Source organism: Homo sapiens, chromosome 8 (genome assembly GCF_000001405.40).
Source record: "Homo sapiens chromosome 8, GRCh38.p14 Primary Assembly".
Lineage (NCBI taxonomy): Eukaryota > Metazoa > Chordata > Mammalia > Primates > Hominidae > Homo > Homo sapiens.
This window is the reverse complement of record NC_000008.11, coordinates 35706090-35728990: the sequence shown is the minus strand read 5'-3', so window position 1 is coordinate 35728990 and position 22901 is coordinate 35706090. Positions and strand designations below refer to the sequence as shown.

General features: G+C 41.0%; 1 protein-coding gene and 1 long non-coding RNA gene across 19 annotated transcripts in view, besides 1 other annotated feature; one reads left to right on the top strand and one right to left on the bottom strand.

The window, feature by feature from the left end:
• Window positions 1–22901, bottom strand: part of UNC5D (unc-5 netrin receptor D) — a 561066-nt gene that overhangs the window by 67550 nt on the left and 470615 nt on the right. For 5 of the 18 annotated variants that reach the window (NM_001438417.1, NM_001438420.1, NM_001438424.1 and 2 more), the window contains 3 exons: window positions 6596–6781; window positions 4669–4740; window positions 2462–2839 (listed from right to left, as the gene is read on the bottom strand). In NM_001438417.1, coding sequence (NP_001425346.1) covers window positions 2462–2839; window positions 4669–4740; window positions 6596–6781 — 636 coding nt within the window. The remainder of the gene's footprint in view (window positions 1–2461; window positions 2840–4668; window positions 4741–6595; window positions 6782–22901) is intronic. The other 13 variants (NM_080872.4, NM_001438421.1, NM_001438426.1 and 10 more) reach the window with 3 other exon arrangements.
• Window positions 9500–10402: an enhancer, noted in NCBI's record as "OCT4-NANOG-H3K4me1 hESC enhancer chr8:35576107-35577009 (GRCh37/hg19 assembly coordinates)". NCBI's record gives its function as "activates a minimal SCP1, AML or CMV promoter by ChIP-STARR-seq in primed H9 embryonic stem cells {active_cell/tissue: H9 hESC(primed)}" and the evidence as "EXISTENCE:reporter gene assay evidence [ECO:0000049][PMID:30033119]".
• LOC101929550 (uncharacterized) overlaps window positions 18671–22901 on the top strand; it is a 38158-nt gene continuing 33927 nt past the window's right edge. The window contains exon 1 of the long non-coding RNA NR_125819.1: window positions 18671–22645. This is a non-coding gene — a long non-coding RNA (uncharacterized LOC101929550). The remainder of the gene's footprint in view (window positions 22646–22901) is intronic.

Genomic DNA, 22901 nt, shown 5'->3' with positions numbered 1-22901 from the left:
GGGGAGTGGCAAGTTACAGATAGTGAAGAATGAGAGATACTGTGGGACAGCTTTATGCCTGTGATCCTCTAAAGTAGAATTCACTTCAATATGTCATTGGCCAGTTACCTCTGATTAAAGAAAAATATAATACCCCATACTCCACCTGCTACCCTGACAGCCTTTTATTTGATATGACCACAGAAGCACCAGTCTGAGCTTCCTGTTTTATATTTGGAATAATAAATAATTTCTAGAGTGTGGAGACCACCCTAACCTTTTGGAGAAATCATTGCTAGGCACCATACAATAATTTAGGATGGATGGCATTAGAGCAATCTAATTTCAGTGCCTTGCTTTCTTTATACTTTAGCTCCCTAGGGCATATTTTGCATTTATTTCCTGCAAATAACAGAGCATATGTTTTACTTCTCCACAGTTATTTTACATCAAACTTATTCCCAGTGAACAGCTTCAATCTTGTCCAACACTCCTTGTCAGGAGCTTTGAAAATGCCCCATTTCAAGGAGAAACTGTTTGGGAATCACTGACAATGCTGTCAGAACTTTTAGTTTTCAACGTTAGTGCTGCTCAAGTCAGAGGTGAAGGTAAATCTCTGGTTCATCATGATTTCATCTCGCTTTCTTTGATGAACGACAAACACAGCCAATGAACGGGTTGGTCATGGCTCTCCCTCTACATATGTGTAAACAGATGTGCACACACACACACATACATACACTAAGAAAGGAGGATGCAAAGAGAGAGAAGGAGTAATGGGCAGTTTATCAACTAATAACTGAGAGCCTTCTAAGTGCCAAGCATGAGCAAGAAAGAGATAAGATAATTGCATAACTTAATGCATGGCTTTATATGATTCTGTATTTTTGTTTTTATGGCATATATATATATATATTTTTTTTTTTTTTTTTTTTTTTTTAGAGACAGCAACTTGCTATGTTGCCCTCGCTGGTCTCGAATTCCTAGACTCAAGCGATTTCCCCACCTCAGCCTCCTGAGTAGCTGGGACTACAGGTGTGTGCCACTACACCCTGCCAAATTTTATATAATTCTGACACGTCGTGTTCTTTAGGGCAAGGGTTGTATTCTTTTTCTTTCCTCAGGACTCACATGTCTAGTTTATGAATTCTTACAGAAAAGTTAATTGGTAAATATGTCTGATTGACTCATTATCTTCCAATTATCAACTGGAAGAATTAAATCATGCGTAGGCATTCACACATTGACACGCATACACATTTGAACAAAGATCCTTACCATGTCCTAAAACATTGACCAATGAAGATTTAGAGAATTAGAAATTTAAAAAACAAAACCATTCAATTACGGCTGCCATTGAGGGCTATTTTGATGAAGTAAAATATGTTTTGAAATGAAGATTTTAAGGAAGTAATTGCTCTAGGGGAGAACAAGACAACATTCATCAACTAGAAATGAATTTCAGTCTCCAGTCTCTAAGCTACTAGAGGGGTCAGTTAGCTAGAATGGTAGAATCAGACTAGTCCTATTACAGATTTTATTTATGGAATGAAATGCTCGATTTGAGAGGTTGGTTAGCTCCACCCTAGAGAGACATCTGTCTAGACTATAATGTCCCTGACTCAATGCTGACCTGTTGTTTGATAAACACTTACAGATCCAACAGATACTCTTCCCTCTTAGCAGCCAACAGATCACTACCTGCTTCAGTGCACTACCTAATTCTCATTGCTTAGAAATCCGAGCAGAAATTGACCTTGTCTACCATCCACTTAGGTCTTAGGCAGCAACTTTGAAAACTAATCCATAGAAAGGATATCATTTTAAAAGTGATCTGGGCTGGATACTTTAAGTATCATGTCAAAACATCATGAAAATCTCCTCTCTTCCAGCTAAAAGGAGGAACAAAATATGTGAGAATTCATTATACTGACATAGCCCTGGAACTGAAGTTTAAATTCAAAAGAGCAACTCTACAACAACCCCTCATCGTTGCTCACCAGAAAGTAACACTATAGCAAGGGCTATGGAGTGTTCATTAGGTCAGTTACTGATGAGATGTCATTTCACTAAATTATCTAAATTATCAAACTAGTACATAAACCATGCTTAGGTATAAACATGGGGCCCTGGTCTGTCATGCCAGAGAATTTTTTCAGTGCTTTCTTATCATGCCTAGGAAATATACTCCAAAGGGGCTTAAAGCCTGGGGACTACCCAAACCTTTCAGGCAAATATAGTTATCAGCTCTAACAGGGAATCAAAGGGAGCATTCAATCCATGCTGAGATGAAGACTGCAAAATCTAATCTCAGCATTGGTTCTGGTTTGCTGTGTAAATCAAGTGGACTAGTGGAGCCGCAGTGTTTGCAGGTCTGATGAGGGGAGAGTAAACATCATAAAATGAATCTGATGGGAAGTAACTGTGTAAAAATGAAACATTTAAATGATGGAAAATACACAAACACACACTTACCACCCACCTGTATTTGGCATTACTAAGCGCCCCCCTAAATGGCCAAAGACACCAGTTGTCCTCAGTTCTGTCCTTGTGGGGAGTGATGACAGATTTTGGATGTAGGGCATTTTATTTCTGGGATGCATTGTACTAAAGCTGTGGTTGTTTCCATGGGGAAAAGTCCTGGAATGATTCTTGCCGTGGTACTCAGCTCTCTCAGACACTCCCAGGGAAACCATGAACGAGCTCTGGACTTTCACTTTGATGTCCGACAAAGGGTTAAAGAGTGAGGACTCTGTCATGAGCTCCTTGTCCAGAGGGTCCTGCAGACAGATGGGTCCGCTGTATGTCCGGCTCACTGTCAGATCTGGCTGCATGGCAGAATTCAGGAGCAGGGAGTTACCTGGTAAAAGAAAATTGATCTGTCACTCAGAAACTAAAAGGCATCTCAGTTACTCCTGTACTTCTGCCTCTGCAAACTGCGCAACAGCCTGCATAGGTGCCAGCAGTTCCAATCCAAGCTAGCTCTTCAGGACCACCCTGCCAGGTTGGGTGCTAGTGACTAGAACTTTTGAATCAAGAGCCCTGGCTTCCACCGTCCATTCTCTAAATGCCACTGACCCAAATCTTTCACTTTCCAGAGATCTTTCCGTGCTATCTTTTCAAAACAAGTATTTCTGGCACTCTCTCTGGCAACGAACTCAGGTATTATTGTTTATGTGATTATTTCAACTGGCAAACAGAAGCTAAAATAACAAAAAAAGAGGGGGGAGAGATGTTTTGCAGTCAAGTTTTGAGCAAAAATAACATCTGTTCATTTTAAATGGCAAGAGATGACAAAGCGTGGTGACTAGGTAGTGCTGTTTATAACAGAAGCTACATCGGTTCCAGTGCATTTCATACGGAATTCTGTGCAGATTCTGGAGCTGGGGAGGAAATGATGTGTCCTCAGAGCAAAAGGGTCAGGGCACCTCATGAATCTCACCACATCTGAGTAGCCAATTTGCTCTAATAACTCATATGTCACTCTGCGAGGGAAAAAATGCACCACCCAGAGACAGTGAGAAGCTTAGATTCTACATAGGGAGCAGCTTAGAATGGTTTCCTTTCTGTCTCAAAGGGAAAAAGTATATATAATATCTTTGCAAAAACATGAGAAATTGGGCTTTGTCATCTGCTGGGGCTCGCCATTTTTTTCCAAGCCAAATATTAAAAAGAAATGCTGTGATATTTTCTTGTGATGAAGTAATCTCATTTATTAGTAAATAACAAAATAACTCTCAGTCCCAAGCTTCACACCCATATCAGTCCGTCAATATGACATCTCAAATTGAAACCCAAACCATATTAAACAATTTTCCTTTGGGGCCTGACAAAAATGTTTAAAGTATGATCTTTCTGAAAATGTTGCAATTCTTGGCCATATTGTATTAGCCTCTATTGTTTTTCCATTTTCATAATTTGCAGCAACGCCAGTAGGAAATCTATCACCCTGACTTTTCCCATCTCTTGTTGTGATGCTCTAAGAATCCAGAATCACAGAGGAAAATATACAAATTGGATGAAATAAATAATGCTATAGAGCTAAAGGATCTTTGATTATTATTATTTTTTTTCCATGCATGAGTGTGTTGTATCAAGACCCAGGTACCATCAGGGAGCTGCGCTTTCTAGCAGGTCTGCACTGAGTTCTTCAGGTGACCACTTTGCTCCTGTTTATGGTCTTCCCAGGAAAGAAGCAGGACCAAAACCCATCTTAGATTAGAAAAGAGTTTAGAACAGGAGGTTCTGCGGAGACCTCAAAAGCCACATGCCTCAGTCACCTGGCTCTTTTATCTCAAGCCCTAGCCTCTGAAGTTTAATTTTTGGCTACGCTTAGAAGATCTGCCTAGTCTAAGTGACACAAGGAAGCAAAAATATTTCCTAGAGTGAGACAGCACTTGAGCGGGAAATGCCTGATTCTGGACATATGTACATATGATAGCATCCACGGTCAGAGAAAATTGGCTGCCAGCTTGACTGAAGTCTGACCAGCGACAGTCACCCACCGCTGGTCACCCCAGTCTTCTCTTTGGAAATCCTTTTTCAAGTCCCTAGTCTGTTCTGTGTATGGCATTCTATTTAAAAGGCTCAGTGTTCACCTTGCCGGGGCACTGGATGTATTGCTCAAAAACGGATCTCTCTAAGACAGTGGAGGTGAAAACCACATGATATCAGCATGAGGCAGATTACCATAATAAATGCAGGGAGAGTGGCATTTACCAAAGGATTTTTCTTGTATCATTAGTTCCATGATATTCTTGGCTAAAAATAAAAATAAAACAAAATGGTCAGGTAAGTTTGGTAAGACTAATATTGTCTTAGAGATTTACAATACACATAAGTTGAGTTTAAGTGTAGGCAAGTCAGCACTCCCCAGACAGGTGTAGGCCAGGGATCCACCCTTCTCACCTGCTGCCTGGTGCTCCACGGAACACGCTGGCATCCTGTACTAGGGTAAGAGGAAGCAACCAGCGTCTAGAACTCTATTCGCTGCATTTGTGAGCGCTTTCCATATGCCAAGGGCTTACCCATGTTATTCCAGGTGATTTCATCCTCAGAACACTTTGAGTTGAATGTTACTAACCCCATTTTATAGCTGTAAAACTTGAGACTCAAGAGGATAACAGACTAATTGATAGCAGTTTTAGACTAAAATCTAACTTCAAAGCCTACGGACTTATGCACAAAACTGTCTCTCACACTAATACAGCTCATCTGTTTTCAAGTGTTATGGTCTAAGATATTGATATTTTATTATTTGATGAAAATATGTTTCTAGTTTTTTAGGTAGCATAAAAATCAGTTCTTGACCAGACCCAGTAGCTCATTCCTATAATCCCAGCACTTTCAGAGGCTGAGGTGGGAGGATCATTGAGGCCAGGAGTTCGAGACCAACCTGAGCAACATAGTGAGACCCTGTCTCTATAAAAAATAAAAATAAAACAAAAACTTAGCTTGGTGTGGTGGCATGTGCCTGTAGTCCCAGCTGCTGAGGTGGGAGGATCACTTAAGCCCATGGGTGGGAGGCTTCCGTGAGCTATGATTGCACCACTGCACTCCAGCTTGAGTAACACCACTTAAAAAATCAGTTCTATATTTGGATTTATTTCCAATTAACTACATATACTAAACTATATGTCCAAATGTAGGGGATGTGTCTCTTTTGAGGCCTAACTCTGAGGTGCCCAGAAGTGAATGGCAAGAGGGAAGGTACTCATCTCTCTGGCCATCTCTCAATTTTTTCCAGCATGCCTGTGTTTCCACTTCGGAAGCCTGTCTACTCAATCACTGCCTTGCACTGAGACTTCTGGTTCCGCGCTGTAGGCACCACTGATGCACAATAAACAGAAATGAAGGTGACGATATTGACGATGAGGGTCAAGGTAGAAAACTTCATCCTCTGAAAAGAGACGGTTTCATTTTTTTCTAAAATGAAAGCTGTGTATGTTTCATCCCCACCTTGCAATAAGGAATAGATTTGGTTCCTATAACAGAATTAAATGACTCTGTTTTGAAAATGACATGATACAGTTTGACATGATAGATTTTCCTTCCCCCACAACTAAAGATTGCTTGGACTTGGCAACAGCTGAGAGTCGTTTCGGCTGGAATTTCATTTTTTTTCCCCTGGCTAGCTGACCCATCATCTATTCTCTAAAATCTGTTTACTTATTTAAAATAGAAATAACAAAATTACTCCACTTCATAAATAGGGTAATAAATATACCTGGGAGGCTGTAATATAGGTGTTAGTCCTCAGTCTTGAATGACCAATACTTTGGTTAACTAAATTAAATATACATCCTCAAAAGGACTTTTTTAAAAAGAAGGATAATTTGAAATAAAATAACTCATTAGGCTGACCCTACATCAAAAATGGAAATGCCTCATTGAAAATGTTGCTGATAATAAACCGAGATCCTCTTGTCCCTGTGGCAGACAAGGACCTAAGCAGACCACTTCACCCAGCCCGGTCTGTTCATGTGTGAAGACAATTTGGTAGCGGCTCCCAGTGCCAAGAGCTACCTTCACACAGGGCCCAGGAGAAGGCTGGGGTCTAGTGTGAGCGTAGTCTATGGCACTGAGGACGAGGTGTGGAGGGACCTATGCCGCTGACCTTGACGGACTGTTTTGAAGTTGAAGGTCTGGAAGCCACCTGTCAATGCAGAAGAGTCAATGACGTCCACGCCATAGTCACTCTGGCTCCGTCTGTAAAGGGTGACACCAATGACCAGGACTGCAACGGCCACGACGGCAGCACCCAAGCCCGAGTACAAAGCAATGTCGCTGGCATTCTCAATGCCTGAAAGACACAAGAGAAATTGTAAGTGACCAGCATGGGCACAAAGTCAAAGAACCACTCGGGAATACAAAAGGAAATGCTATTGGATTTTTGGAGCTACTGCTCAGAGACAATGACAGATGTACAGTGAACACAAGTTGTACTCACTTTCACACAGTAATCGTGTTTCTAAAATGCCTTGTATAAATCAAAGGGATGCTAGGCAAATATCTTAACTGCATTAAGGTAGCTTAGCATGTAATAGACTCTTGAATATAATCAATTTTGCAAAGAAAATAATGTTTTTTTCTAGTAAGAGCAGACAACTCCTTAGTTTAGGATGTCATGTTTACCTGCAAAACACTTTTTACACTTTTACCAGAGCGAGGGCAGACCCACACACAGTGATAAAATATGGGTGATCTGCTCTGCTTATGTGAAACCTGGGGCACATGCCTTTGCAGAGAGCAGTCTAGGGCAAGGAGATAACACAAAGTCTATTAGTTGAGAGAAAGACCAGAGTTCACAAATATGAATTTTAGCTTTGGTACAAATCATTCAGATTAAAAGTACACTGACAACATCAGTTTAGGGCATACAGTCATTATGAGAGAATTTTATTGTGGGATATGAAGGTCTTGGTCCCAGGTGCTGTTAAGTCCATGGCAGATGTTTTCTGACACCAATTAAATGCTAGACTCTAATAATTTATTGTGGAAGAGGACGGGTTGCTAGGACGGCACATGCTGTTTCTCCCATACCTCTCCTACTCCATCCTATTGAATGCATGGGCAAAGCAAAAATAAAAGCGTTAGTTTGAATTTAGAATGTGGGTGCCTCCCCACCCCGCAAGATGTGCTATAGCTGCTTTTCACCCTTTTTTCTAGAGGTGCGTTGGATGTGGTTATTCCTGTAGCAGATCCATGATGGCTCCTGCAATACAGCACACGAGATTTATCTGAGATAATATAAGTCTCAAAGAGGTGTAATCTTAGAAGGTGTGTGAAAATGGAGGATGGCAAGTGCTAACTACATAGTTAATCTTCCTACAGATTATGTGGTAAGTACACTTAATGGGTCCAACAGTAATTACTCTGTCACCCCTGTGTTGGGCTTAGAGGATAAAATAAAGCCATCATATATTTACCTTGTAATTGTGCAGCACTTACTATGCATTCACCGCACCCTAATATGGTACTTATGTTATCAAATGAGTAATACTAACCACACAAGGAAAGTGAATTTATTTTCAACAGTTAGTGGACTGTAAAATAGGGTGCTACCAAATTAAAGAGTGAACGAGGAAATCAAGCAGAACTGGTTCACTAATAGGGCAATAAACACATAAAAATAATTCTCAAGGGAGAACACAACCATCAAAAAAAAAAAAACAGCATCTGAAAGGTCAGAGGTTTATCAAATACATTTAATAACCATAATAGCATGGTGCCCGCTGAGAAACAGGGTGTGATTTAAACTTCCATTCCAGCTTCATGATGATTCAAATGTGAGAGAGACAGGAATGGAGCCTACTTCTCCAACCACTCATAACCATGGCTGAGTTGATAAACGTCAGCCTCAGTTTCCACGTGTGCCTCTGTCATGTGTGGTAAGAAGGAGGGCAGCTATCATTCTTAAGCTCCCACCTTCCCTCTACTCAATTAAGTGTCTTGGAGGGAATAATTATTCCCAGAGCAGACAGAGGACACAGAACACAGCAGATGCATCATGCCAGTGTATGGGAAGCAGTGAGGGAACTTTGGATTAAAACCAACTAGCATTTTTCCTCCCTTTCCTCCAGTTCCTTGGGCACTGCTGACTGATGACACTCTCACCTTAAAAGGTGTAGCTGGGGAGAACACACCTGCTCAGCAAATGAGCACATACAGAGAAACAGCCTGGCAGTGTGCAGAATGCAGCTCCTTTGTTGCTGAGTTGACAAAGTAGAGACAAAGACATCCTCAGTTTTCCAGGTACTAAAATAGGAAGGACCAGAAGCCAGGAGGATGACCAGGGCAAGACGCCTGGGCTGGAAATGGATTCAGTGGCAGTGAACATCCTAAGACAAAACCAAACAGCAGGAACAAGTTGTCTTTGTTCCCCTGGATTGCCATTTTGTCTTTTATGTTTCACTCCCTCCCTACCAGGTAACCAGAATTCTCATTCTCCCTCCAGATATAGATCCTGCTTTTAGGAATAACCCTATGTATGCCTGCAGACCAAAGTATCAATGTTTGATATGGCTCAGTGTGTTTTCTCTCCCAGGAACATCTGTAGAATCCATTTGACTTAAAGGAATAAAATACTAAATTATAAAATTTTAAAAATGAGTAGAGGAACTTCAGGGACAGGGTAGGGAAAGAAAGCCAGTGCATGGCGAGCACTGGCTCCCTAAGGCTCAACCTGACACTGGGATGGCTTGATCTACAAGCTAAGCGGCAGAGGAAAGGGATGCCTATAGAGAGATAAGCAAAATGGGAATTATTTTACAGAACAATTTGTCCTGGGAATTATAAAATTCAGCTTATAATAATTTCACTAATTCAACAAACATTTATTGAGGGGCAGCAATGAGGATGCATGGATGAATTAACACGTGGCTCCTATTCTCAGTCATTTCTTGTCTAAAGGTGGTAAGGACAAGGTAGTGATGAGATCTGGGTACTTCAAGTGCAGCCACAGAGGTATACACGAGTCCTCAAAGCCACATTTTACACTTCAGGAGATAGAACCAGACTTTACCCACAGCTCACATTCTTCTACAGTTGGGTCACTGTGCTTCTTTCTTCTTTCTTTTCTTTTTTACCCTTCTCTCTTCGATCTACCTGGTTGTACTTCACCTCATTCTTTTTCCTCTTCACACCCACACCTCCATCCCATTGTTTTCTGATCTTTCTTTCCAAGAGTACACAGTGGCTTTCTTTGTAAAGATTTCTGTGTGTTTACAAAAGTTGAAGTGATTCTCTTTCATGTGTTCAGTACTGGCCCCAAGGTTTAGTTCTAGATTTTTTTACCCTGACTTCATGAGAGAAGGGAGAAAGTCGTGTGTGTGTGTGTGTGTGTGTGTGTGTGTGTGTGTGTGTGTGTGTATAAGCACATGTGCATGTAAGCAGTGCCCCTGAAGAATCATCACACGCACACAAGAACACACTCAACTCCCTAAAGAACCTTGGAAGCCTCCGCCCCTCATTCCTGGGAGAATTGCTCCAGCCACAGGACCGCAAGGTGCAGTCACTTCCGGGGGACTGGCAACTTTTCCCATGACCATTCCTGCGCTCAGCCTTTCAGCCCTTTATTGCATTGTCATTCATCCCAAGTGCAATTGTAATTGATATCTCTGCTAGATGGACACTCGCTAACAAAAGGCCGTATGTAGTGGTCAGTGTAACATATACCCCCCGACCCCTACTCCACTAGGCATCTAGACCCTAGCCCTCTCCATCTACCCATCAGTCAGGGTACCCAGTGCAAAGTCTTCCTCTCCCATGAAGGTGATCCTGTCCTGGACAATCCAGCCAGTGCTGCCGCCCTATGGTCTTCTGAACAACTTGTATCACTTGTACTTCCTAGATCTCATTTTGGGTTGTGTTTTTTATTGTTAATTTTCAAACGCCAGTGAGTTGCTTTGTTTTCCCTAACTGCCTTAAACTCTTCAAAAGCTACAATATCTCTATAACTTCCCAGGGAAACTTGCCAATCATCATGAACAGCTATTTATTGATTGCCTGCCTGGCCTCCAACTGTGAGAAGAGAAATATCAAAGAAACCACAGTCTTAGGTTGATTTTAGAACCCCTGCTGCCAGGACTCTCTTTTCATTTACATTTACACATACGTTTATACCTATCCGGTCTCTCAAGTACAGTGTGGCTGGTTTGTTTGCTCAAAGTGATTTTGAACAAAAGCCCTGACTGAGCAGACTATTCTGTCTTTTTGTGGGCACAGGATACTTTTCCTTTTCTGTTTCATAAACGAAGCTTTACATATCAATATGTTACTAATGTCTTTCCTGTTTTCTTCATCCCTATTTTCCTCTCTCCCAGAGTCACAAAAGCTTCAGGCAAAGCTTGGGAGGACTCACCAGGTGGTAGAAAAAATTACTGTCTACATTCTACAGGTGTTAAAAAAAAAAAAGCCCCCAAACCCCACAAACAATGCAGAGCACTGACTGTGAAATCTCTTGTATTCCAAATTAGTCAGAAACTACTGAGGAATGTGCTCATGGCTGGAAGGGACACAGAGCATCTGCAGAGAAGGCTGAAAAGATTAATCGAGAGCTGGAAACTAGGACCCTGGAGAGGAAATGTTTGTGGGTTCATTTGGCCTGAAGACAAGGGAGCCTTAAAGTGACTTCCTGGTGATCTTGAATACATAAAATGTTGTTATAAGGAGAGAAGAGGACTACCGTCTTTGTAGGTGCTCAGTGACCATTCATTTATGATGAAGCTAGTAACCACCTCTTCACCATCTTTAACAAGAACTGCAAAAGAGGACATGACCTTTTATTATAGCAGTTGGGACTCTGGTTAGATATTACCATGACCTTTTCTACAATGAGGGTTGTTAAAAACCTGAATTGTATTTCTGGGGGAGATTGTGAAATCTCCTTTCAGAAAGTCTCTAAAAGAAAGCACGACTTTACAGTACTCTCCAGTTATTTTATTTTAGTTTTTTGGCCAAAGCTGGGGAGAAGGACTAAATGACCTTTCAAAGACCCTTTGAACTTCACAGTTCAGGGAATGGGTATTAACAAGGTGGATGGCTTTATGCATGATAATCATATCCAGTCATTTATTGTCATCAATGTGTCCAAAGGACTCTGTAGAAGGGCTTTTTAGTTGGTTTTCCTCCTTTTCTTTACATAACTCCCCTCTAAAAGATGTACTAATGCCAGCCACTTACTAATGGAAATTTAACTCAATGCTCATGTTATGACCTTAACTATATACCAGATTAGAATCTATGTTGCAGGATTTGGATAAGTGACTGAGAATTAACATAGGAGCGTAGCGAGTACCTTTCCAAACATATGATATTCTGTTTTATCTCCCATTGGATATTGCAGAATGCCATTGCTCCCATTTCAGAAAAACAAACATACTTGAACTGGTATATATGTAAGAGGAAGTGAATTACTAAGGAATCCATACAGTAAATACAGCACATCCTGAGAAGGGTAAGACAAACAGAAAACGAGGCAACCAGCCATGGAGATGGAATCCCATAGAAGGCCAGGTAACAAGCGCCCCAGGAAGCACCCTCAGCACAGGAGGTGGTGTTGATACAAAGTGCCCTGCCAAAATATTTAATTGCATGCTGAAATATGATGAAACAGAAGTTATTGTTAAAGTTGTTTATATATGTTGTCATCAAGAAGCAAACATTTTTTTTCCTTTAATTTGATGCATCAGAAAATAGCTTTTAAGTAGTTAGCCATGGCCAACCATGCTAAGCAATTTCAATTATATTTGCAGTCTTTAGAATCTCGTAATATCTCTGCCTTTCCAATTTCCCAACCTCGAAAATCTCAATTTGCTATTGTAGTTATTGTTTTACTGTTGTAATTAATGACAATAGTAGCTATATCTTAAAAAGCACTTAGAAGGCACTGTTCTAGGACTTTACATTTATTAACTCATTTTAATCTTCCAACAACCTTCTAAAAATATCTTCACTGAGATGTGTAAACTGAGGTGAGAGAATTACTTGCCTTTCTCAAAGCCTCATGATTGGTAAGTAGTCCAACTGGGACTCAATCCCATGCAGTCTGGCTCCAGAATCAATGCTTTTGGTCACTCTCTATCCAGTTGTTGACCTCTGTCTTCCTGATCACACTGTGTGACTACTCTCAGGAACCACAGTAACTCAGTAACTGAGCACTAACCTTATGCTGACTTCTCTTTCTCTAAGAACTACACAGATGATCACATTCTCATCCTCATAAAGAAAATCTATGAGGTAGGTATTATATATTAATATCTTATTTTACTGATGATGACGCATTGTCAAGTAAGTTAGTAACTTGGAAAATGGCAAAGTCAGGCTTTGAACACATGTCTGTCTTCACTCCCAAGCTGCTTATGACACGGTGTCTCTTCCTTGCGTCTCCTCTCTGCTCTCTCCATACCGGCACCTGGGTTAACTTGCCCTGCTGGAGGAAGTCACTAACTATAGCACTGGCATCATCAAAAAACTGATGCTATGCAACCTCACCCAGGCTTTCCTTGCAACTCAGTAATTATTATATTCACATTCTATGGCCAAATTGTGCTTTCCTCACAACAGCTGCTCTGAACTTTGTTCCTTTCCTTCAAGACCCCTACTCCTCACCTGCCCTCTTTCTTGTTGAAAATATGGAGACCATCCTATGTGAGTTCACTCCCCTGCAACTCAAAATTCCTCTGTTCCTTCACCCAATTTTCTTTTCTTTTTTTTTTCTGTTCCCTGAAGAGCTGCCCCATGAGGACCTGGCCTCATTCATTATTCTCTTTTGGTCTTGCATCTTCAAATTTTTCCTCCACAGCTGGGCCTTGCCCCCTGCCTACAAACACAGTCTAGTCTCTCTAATCACCTCTCCCCAAATCCTTCCCTCAACTTACTCTCTCACAAACTTCTCAAACATGCCGCCTTTTTAACATCTACTGATTTCTCAGCTCTTTTTCTACAAGAACTTCAAGCATTTTTTAACATTAAATATTTCTTAATACTTGTTCCATAATCTCCCCAATCAGTTAACACTGTACTGTTAACATAAAAAAGAACAAATAGAAGTAATACATATATAAGATTAGAAAATGTTCTAGGAAGTATAAACAGGTACATATACTATGCAAAAAGCAAGCTTGTCTTCCAACTACCACCTCTCCAAAAGTAGTAACTATTGATAGTACCTTGTGTGCCCTTTCAGAAAAAAAAATATGTAACTGTCCTCCATTTGTTTTTCTTTTCCTTTCTCTACACTAAAGGCTCTATATTATATTTCCTTTCCTATACTTTCCTTTAAGAAAATGTACGCTATCTTATCAATCACTTATCAGAACATAATATGCCTACTTCATTCTTTTTTTTGTTTGTTTTTTTGAGACAGAGTTTTGCTCTTGTTGCCCAGGGTAGAGTGCAATAGCACAATCTTGGCACACCGCAACTTCCATCTCCTGGGTTCAAGTGATTCTCCTGCCTCAGCCTCCCGAGCAGCTGGAATTACAGGCATGCGCCACCACACTCGGCTAATTTTGTATTTTTAGTTGAGACTGGGCTTCTCCATGTTGGTCAGGCTGGTCTCAAACTCCCGACCTCAGGTGATTTGCCAGCCTTGGCCTCCCAAAGTGCTGGGATTACAGGCGTGAGCCACTGCGCCTGGCCGGCTTCATTCCTTTTTCATTTGCCTAGCCCATACTCAGGTTGCATGATCACTTATTTAACTACCTCCCTACTGCTACATCATGTGATTGTTTCCATACACTGTAAAGTCTGTATGTGCCTAAACCACTGTTCTCTTGAAGGTCGTTTGCAACTGCATCAACTATACCATTCTTCATCTTATTCTTTACCACTGCTCTGCAGCAATAGACAAGAATAGCAAACTTCCTCTTAGAAAAAAACTGCCCCTTAAATTTGATTCTCTTGAAGTTTGACCTGTTCTTTACTGATTGTTTAGTAACTACCCTTCATTCTCCTAGTTCTAAATAGGCAGGCTTTAAAGTTCAGTTCTTGGCCCTTTTTCCTCTCTCTGTTCTCATCTAATTGGATAATCACTCACATACAGACAGTGCCAACGATTTCCTTGATCCTGAACAGTCTTAGATTAACATCTCCTGCCTCATCTTCTCTCTGAAGATCTGATGCCATATTTCCTTCCTGCTCGCTGGGCAAAACCACCTGCATCTTGTGCTCACATCTCACATTTGTCATCTGATTTACAGATTCATCATTATCACTCATTCTTACCTCTTCAAAATATTTTCTTCTCTTGAATTATCTTTTCTGGTAATGACACCACCAGGGACATGGCTCAAGATCAAAGAGTCATCTCTGAATCTGTTTCCATTCACTCCCTCCTCAAACCATTCTCATATTTGAGTGATTGTGTCTAGTGCCTCTCTCATCTCAATTTCAAAAGGAGACATCCCAGTGGATATCCACATGGACCAGTCCCCTCCACCCACACCCCCAGTCTTTGATTACTTTGAACCATTTTACCTGTGGATGACTTCCCAAACCCTGTTCTAGTACAGTCACCCTGACACCTTTCATGACTCTGCAGGATGGACTGGATCCACTCTGGGTGGACTTCTTTCACTGCTCAAGACACTTCACGTTCTGCTCACACTACAGTTCATGCTGTTTACCCACTTCTCATCTAGGTGAACCCTATTCTTTGGTCAAACCTGACTACTTATTTTTTTCAAGTAGACCATGTACTTTTGCAGACTTTTATTTTTGGCTCCAACTTTTCACCCTCACTGAGAGGCTCTCTCCTCCAATATCTGCTTCAATTCCAACCATCCTTCCAAGGTTGGCAACAAAGGTCGTCTATTTTATAAAATATTTTTGATAGTGCCCATTCAGACATGTTTACAGCTCCTTTTAGTAAGCTAGCCAGATTGAACAAATGAAAGTTTGACACACAGTTAACTCTAAATTTCAGATAAAAAATGAGTAGCTTTAGCACAAGTATTTCCCATGCGATATGTGGGGCATATTTATCCTAAACTTTATTTGATGTTTCTTTGAAAATTGAATGTAATTGGAGGGTCATCTTTGAACTGTAAAAGAACTATGCTTTTGCCAATCAGATGGGGAGACAAAATTGAAACAGAAGAGAGAGTCAAAAAGAGCAGAATTTGAACTCCAGCTCTAGAAAAAACTACTTTACTTCATGTCTTATTCTGAAAACTGAAGATATAAACTCTACAGATTTTTAGTTACTGAGAGGTAGAGAGATTCAGCTTGTAGATTCACATTTTTAACAAGCACCCAAGTTATTCTGGTGCTAAAGAACACACTAGTAATAGTTTATCACTTACTTGTGTCTGTGCTTATGTCTGAGGTATTTAATTAACAAACTCCCATCATGTCCATTAAGGGCAAAGTCAGCAAAATCATTGAAAATGGTAGTAAGAAAAGATATATACTTATGCTGGAATAAACATTAGATCATAAAAAATAGAAAATAGTAAAAAAAAAATACAAATGTTGCACATATATATGGATTGAATTGATTCACAGTAGGAATGATTCTGAAGGATGAAGCAAGTCAGGCAATTTTCGGAAAGTGCTATATTTATGTAATTGAAAATGATCAGCAGGAGATGAGGAAAAATGGACAAAAAATAGGAAAAAAAGAGTTTGAGACAGTGGTTAGAGCATCAGCTTCAATGCCAGTAGCCTAATGTTAGCTTAGGAGAGCCTAGAAATCTTTTGAGAATTGAAAGGTATGACCAAAGACACAGACAGTTTTGTGGATTCAAGATCCTAATCAAGTCTCCATAGCCTAAAAGAGCATGCTAAATTGCCAGTACAGCCCCCACATCCTCTGAGGAATTCTGTACCTGGTGAAGATCATAAAGAATATGGATCAACATGATCTCACTCTGAATGAACCCTCTGCATTTTGGGGAAAGGTGCAGAATGGAATTTTCTTCAGTGAGAAGAGCATACCTACTTTTCAGACTTTAAGGATGCATTCAGGCCATTGTTTGGTGGAAATGATTTAAAGACACATGCATTTTGGGCTTTAACCTAGTGTCTGGCACAGAGTAGATGATTGTTACAAGAAGTTTCCTTACTTTTCTCAAATCACTTATCTTCTTTCTGCCTTGTATTAAAATTGTAGGGAAGATGCATTTCTTGTTTCATGGAGCCAAGATTATTTGTATGGGACAATTGTACAATAAATGTCTTCTACATGAATGAATAAAATTGACTATATTGAAGCAAAATCTTGATTTTCTTTCTTTTTGAAATGGAGTCTCACTCTGTCGTCCAGGCTGGAGTACAGTGGCGCAATGTTGACTCAATGTAACCTCTGCCTCCTGGGTTCAAGCGATTCTTCTGCCTCAGCCTCCCGAGTAGCTGGGACAGCAGGCACTTGCCACCACACCTGGCTAATTTTTGTATTTTTAGTAGAGATGGGGTTTCACCATATTGACCAGGCTGGTCTCGAACTCCTGACCTTGTGATCCACCCACCTTGGCCTCCCAAAGTGCTAGGATTACAGGCATGGCCAATTTTCTTTTTCTTTAACACCAAAAGGTCCAGTGAGAAGTTAGCAGGAAGAATGAAAACCACAGCACAACAAATATTAATTGAATATCTACATGCTAGACTCTGGTAAATTGAACAGGTGTGATGATGAATAAAACTCTATACTGTATGTCAGATGGCAGGGACTATGTCTATCAGATAGGGAATCCAGACCAGAATAAAGGCAATGAAAATATAGAACAAAAACGGGATAGTTTGATACGGAGGCAACTTACAAGAGCAACTAACTCACACTTAGGGTGGTAGGTTGAAGGCCTTGCAGACATGAAATCTAAGTTGAAAACTGAAGGAAGAATAAGTTAAGCAGGTTAAGTGTTAGGATGAGGGAAAGAGACTTAGTCAGAAGTAACAGAACACATAAGGGAAACTATAGGCCAACATGAGCACCAGGCATTCAAACTGAGGGGCTTTGTTTTGCTGAGGAATACAGCAATGGTGAGAGGGTAGGAAGGAAAATACTTAACGGTAATAAAGAAAAGAAAGCTGGGGCCAGCGCGGTGGCTCATGTCTGTAATCCCAGCACTTTGGGAGGTTAAGGCAGGCGGATCACCTGAGGTCAGGAGTTCAAGACGGGCCTGGGCAACGTGGTGAAACCCCGTCTTTATTAAAAATACAAAAATTAGCCAGGCATGGTGGCAGACACCTGTAATCTCAGCTACTTGGGAGGCTGAGGCAGGAGAATCGCTTGAACCCGGGAGGCAGAGGTTGCAGTGAGCCAAGATCGCACCACTGCACTTCAGCCCAGGTGACAGGGCAAGACTTGGTCTCAAAACAAAACAAAACAAAACAAAACAAAAACAGAAAGCCGGGACCAGATCATATACATGTTAAGTGCTCTAGACTTCCTTTTAAGAATAATGCTGGCCGGGCGCGGTGGCTCACGCCTGTAATCCCAGCTACTCGGGAGGCTGAGGCAGGAGAATGGCGTGAACCCGGGAGGCAGAGCTTGCAGTGAGCCGAGATCAGGCCACTGCACTCCAGCCTGGGCGACAGAGCGAGACTCCGTCTCAAAAAAAAAAAAAAAAAAAAAAGAATAATGCTGAGCTACTGAAGAGGCTTAAACAGGAATGTAATGTGATCAGGATTTGTTTTAGATAGATCAGATAAACTGATGCAGGGCAAGACTGGCTACAAAGAGGCAACTCTAGAAATCCTGGTGTGGGAATGAAGATGGCCTGAATTTTTAGACTTTTCTTCTGGGACACCATTTTCCTTTCATTTGGTTTTTCTCTTACTCCTTGAGCTGTTACTTTTCTTTCTTCTCTGTAGTGACTTCTGACCTCCTCTACATCTAAATGTTAATGTCCGTCAGGGTCCATCCTCAGGTCTTTTCTCTTCTCTATTCACGCCATTATCTAGTGATCTCATCCAACCTAAGGGCTTTAAATATCATCGGGACACTGACAAGCCCCAAATTTATGGTACCAGCCTGCACTTCTCTGACTTCTCGACTGTCTGGCCAACGTCGGCTGTCTACTGAACCTCTCCATTTAAATGTTTAATAGGTAACTCAAACTTAGCATTTATAACACTGAACTCCTGATTCTCCCTCCAGTTTTGCTATGCCAAGTTTTCCCCATACCAGTAATGGCCAACTCCATTCTTCCAGTTGCATAGCCAAAATTTTGGAATCATCCATAACATTTTTCTTTCTCTTGTACTCTACACCCAAAACATCAGAAAATCCTTTTGACTCTGACATCAAAAGACATCCAGAATATGACCCATTTTTACAATTCCTCTTGCTACATAGCTGGCTCAAGCCACAATCATCTTAGAGCTAGATTAAGAGCCTAGGTATTATAACAGATTATTGTTATAATAGGTCATTGTGATAGATCTCCTTGCTTCTGCCCTGGTTCCCTATAGGTTTACACTCAACATAGCAGTTAAGAGCTTTTCCTTGAATATATTAGGTCATGTCACTCTAAATAAAAGCCCTGAATGGTTTCCCAGCTTCCTCAGAGTGAAAGTCAAAGTCCTTACAGTGACCTATAACAAACTCAAACTATAACAAAACAAAGTTTTCTTCCCTCACCTTGCTTCTCTGACCTTAGCTATTACTATTCTCCACTTCTCATTCTGTTGCAGACATCCTGGTCTCCTTTTGGCCCTCAGAGACTCCAACCAAACTCCCACCTCATAGCATTTGTGTCCTGCTGTTCCCTTTGCCTTGACTGCTCATCCCCAAGCTACCCAGAATGTTTGTTTCCTTGTTTTTCTCCCCTCAGTTCTATTCTTAAACATAACTTATTTTATTTTATTTTGTTTTATTTTTGAGACAGTCTTGCTCTGTTGCCCAGGCTGGAGTGCAGTGGTGCAATCTCGGCTCACTGCAACCTCCACCTCCCGGCTTCAAGTGATTCTCTTGCCTCAGCCTCCCGAGTAGCTGGGATTACAGGTGCACACCATCAAGGCTGGCTAATATTTGTATTTTTAGTAGAGGTGAGGTTTCACCATGTTGACCAGGCTGGTCTCGAACTCCTCACCTCAAGTGACCTACCTGTCTAGGCCTCCCCAAATGCTGGGATTACAGGACTCAGCCACCACGTCCAGCTACATAACTTTATTATAGAAACCCCTGAACACTTTACATCAAAAAGCATCACTCACTCTAACCCTGTCAGAGCCCCCCACCCTGCTCTGCTTCTCTTCATAACACTTAATACCATTCAGCACTATGCATTTTCTGGTTTTTTCCTGTCCTTCCTCACTAACACGTAAGCTTGATAGAAGGAGAAGCTGTATGTGTTTTGCTCAGTGTTGATTCTCCACCACCCAGAACACCTCCTAGCATAAGGTCAGCACTCAGTAAGTTGCTGAAGGAAAGAAGGGATGGGTTTGAGCAGAGTGGAGATGGAGATCAGCTGATGAACTTTTGAGATCTAGTAGGTGGCAGAATAGTCAGATTGTGATGAATTGTTGGGTATTGAGCAGGAAAAGGGAGATGAAGGAAATAAGAGGGCTCTAGGAGGCTCTCCAAGTTTCTGCCCTACACACTGAGTTGATGGTATACTGTTCCCTGAAATAGAGAAGATGGGAAAAGGATTTGATTAAGGACAGGGACAGAGAAGGATAATTTCAACTTTGAGGAAGTTGAGATTCAGGTTATTAGGACATATTCAACTGAAGATATCCTGGAGGTAGCTGGCTCTAGAACTATTAACTGAGTTTGTGCTGAACACTCATCTCTGTTAGGTACAAAACTGCATGGAAAGGAGATGAAGAGAGACTGTATAGTATTGAGTCATTTTCCAGGGAAAAGCTAAATCCTTTTCACCCCTTCAGGTGAACTTACCAAACCAGCTGCTACTCAGAAGCTCACAGCCTTTCAGAAAAAGGTATTCTCCAAGCCTCCAAGGAGTCTTATTGTCTCAAGGCAACCATTTTTCAGTTTGACTCTAGGGGTGCGTGTTTGCCATTCAGAACCTACTATATTTTACCGCACCTCCTGACATTGTTACACAACATTTATTGAAAGCACATTTGATGGTAATGAAGTTTCTATTAACTATGATTAAATCTCATAAAGCACCTGAAGATAATTTAAGATGTGCAGAAGCAGAAAATGAAACATTCGGTTTAGTACATTAGGAAACGTAATTGATTAAATTATCTCATTTACAATAAGTGCTTTCATGAGCTATGCAGTGCACATATTTTCCCCAGTTTGTCATTATGATTTGCCAACAGATATCTTAAGACTTCACTTTCTTTTTACACCTCCCCGCAACTCTAAGCTCGTGCCTCTGCCTGCCTGCTCATGGAGCACTCTGTGCAGAGCTCTGAGTGATGTTTTCTATCTGCCAGGCCTTATGGAAGATCATGTGTATGGCTATATATAGGCACAGGTTGTTTCTCAATTATCTTCATAATTGACTTTGATTTTGCATTAGTGATGATTCATGTAGTCTCACATTAAGCCCCTCTTTCACTGAACAACTGCAGCCTGAATTTCTATAATGCACTCCTAACCATGCAGCTTACAGAACCCCGATTGGATTCCTCTGGGAGCCTTTTGCAATCACATTGATTCTCTAAGGTCTTATTTTTAGAGAAATCACAAATTAAAACAGTTTAAGCGATTCCGTTGCAGTATCCAGCAATTAAGCATGGTGCTCAGGAACGAGAACCCCAAGCAAAAACTAATTCTGAAGTCCCTAAGGACTGGAAATGGCTTCTGCGGGGTTTATGCCTGGAAGTACAGATGTAACCAAATTAGAATGGCACAGGACTCACAAACTAAGTGTGAAATTAATTTTAAAAACACATACATGCATTTCTAAGTAACTCTCACATTGGCCACCCCATGGATACCTATGATCTTTTTTGTGCTATATGACAGAATCAGTGGACAGCATGCACCATGTGGCCGGGAGCAAGGTAAGAGTCCACTTACTCCACCTGTCATCCTGAGGGTCCTGACACAAGCACAGGCCAAATATTCAGTGATCTGTTTATTTCTCTCTCCCTCAATGCCCATACACATGAACACACATATACACAGCCAGGTGCCCCCAAACTCAGTCTTCCCATAAATTCAAAATCAAACATGCATGATGTCAGAGGACCAATACTTAAGTAGTAATGATTTTTTTTAATGGGCAGCAGACAGCAGGGAAATAAGTTTAAATGTTTATTTTTGCTGTTTTCCCAAATTCTTAGACTTTGCAAGTAATGATATCTTTGTATCTCCAGCCTTCCTGAAGCAACATAAGGAAATAGGAACAGAATGGCTTTACTGGATTTTTCCCTCATGTCTTGTGACCCCTGTCCCAAGTTACCTATTTCTGTCTATCCTCACAGGGTCTTAATTCTCTCAAAGAAGTTAGCTCATAATAGCTATTAACTCTTCCAAGCTCTTTGAATTTTAATACCCTAAGATTTAAAAGATCAAAAGTCATTCAGTTGATACTAGAATGAGAGATGCTAGGCAGGGACGTCTTTCACAAGCTTTACAAACCAAACCAGCCAGGCCGTTGTCTAATCTCCTACTAATGAGAGCTGTATTAATGTTGCCCCAGTATCTTGAAGTTTCCCTAGCGTCCTTTACATATTTCTGATGTATGAGAATGACTTGGGGAACATATTAACACATAGATTCTTAGGAGCTCCTCAACCAGGAATTCAAATTTATTTGTTCTGTTCTGAGGTGGTGCATATTTAATTTAACAAGCTCCAGCCACACTCTGAGATTCTGATGCATGTGGATTCTGATCCACCTTTTGAGAAACATTTTTCTAAAATCATGGTTCTCAGCCCCACCTGCACCTTGGAGTCACCTGAGGAGCTTTGAAAAATAGAGATACCTGGGTCCTGAAAACCCTCCACCTTAAATTCCAATAGCCTTGATACAGCCTGGAAATTGGGAATTTTAAAAGGCCTACAGGTGATACTAAAGAGCATAAGGTCAAATGCCATACTGCTAGCCATTCCAGCCATCTCCTCTCTCCAGCTCTGCAGGAAGCATAAAATGAAGACAATGCAAAGGCCTCTCCCATAAGCAAGCCTGGGTACAACGAGCCTAAGCCAGTACCAACACCCCAATCCTCAGCTCGTCATTATTTCACCATGGAGTTCTGGATCCTAATCTGCCCAGCTGCCATGGATTCCACAGGAGGTAAGATGCTAGGTGGAGAGACTTGTAGTCAGGCTTTTGCCCAAGGCTGCTCTCAAGAAAGTGTGTACTGACAAATATTTATTAATTTTAATGTGATAAATCTCTTCAGAAATAAGAATCCTAGATGACATTTGCAGAGAAATGGACTTATAGGCAGAAAGAATCAAGAGGAGCGATTTATTTTTACTGGGAGGGAGGAGAGGGGTGTGCATATTTCTTTTGGATTTAAACCTCTGATATGTGACTCTGAACTCAA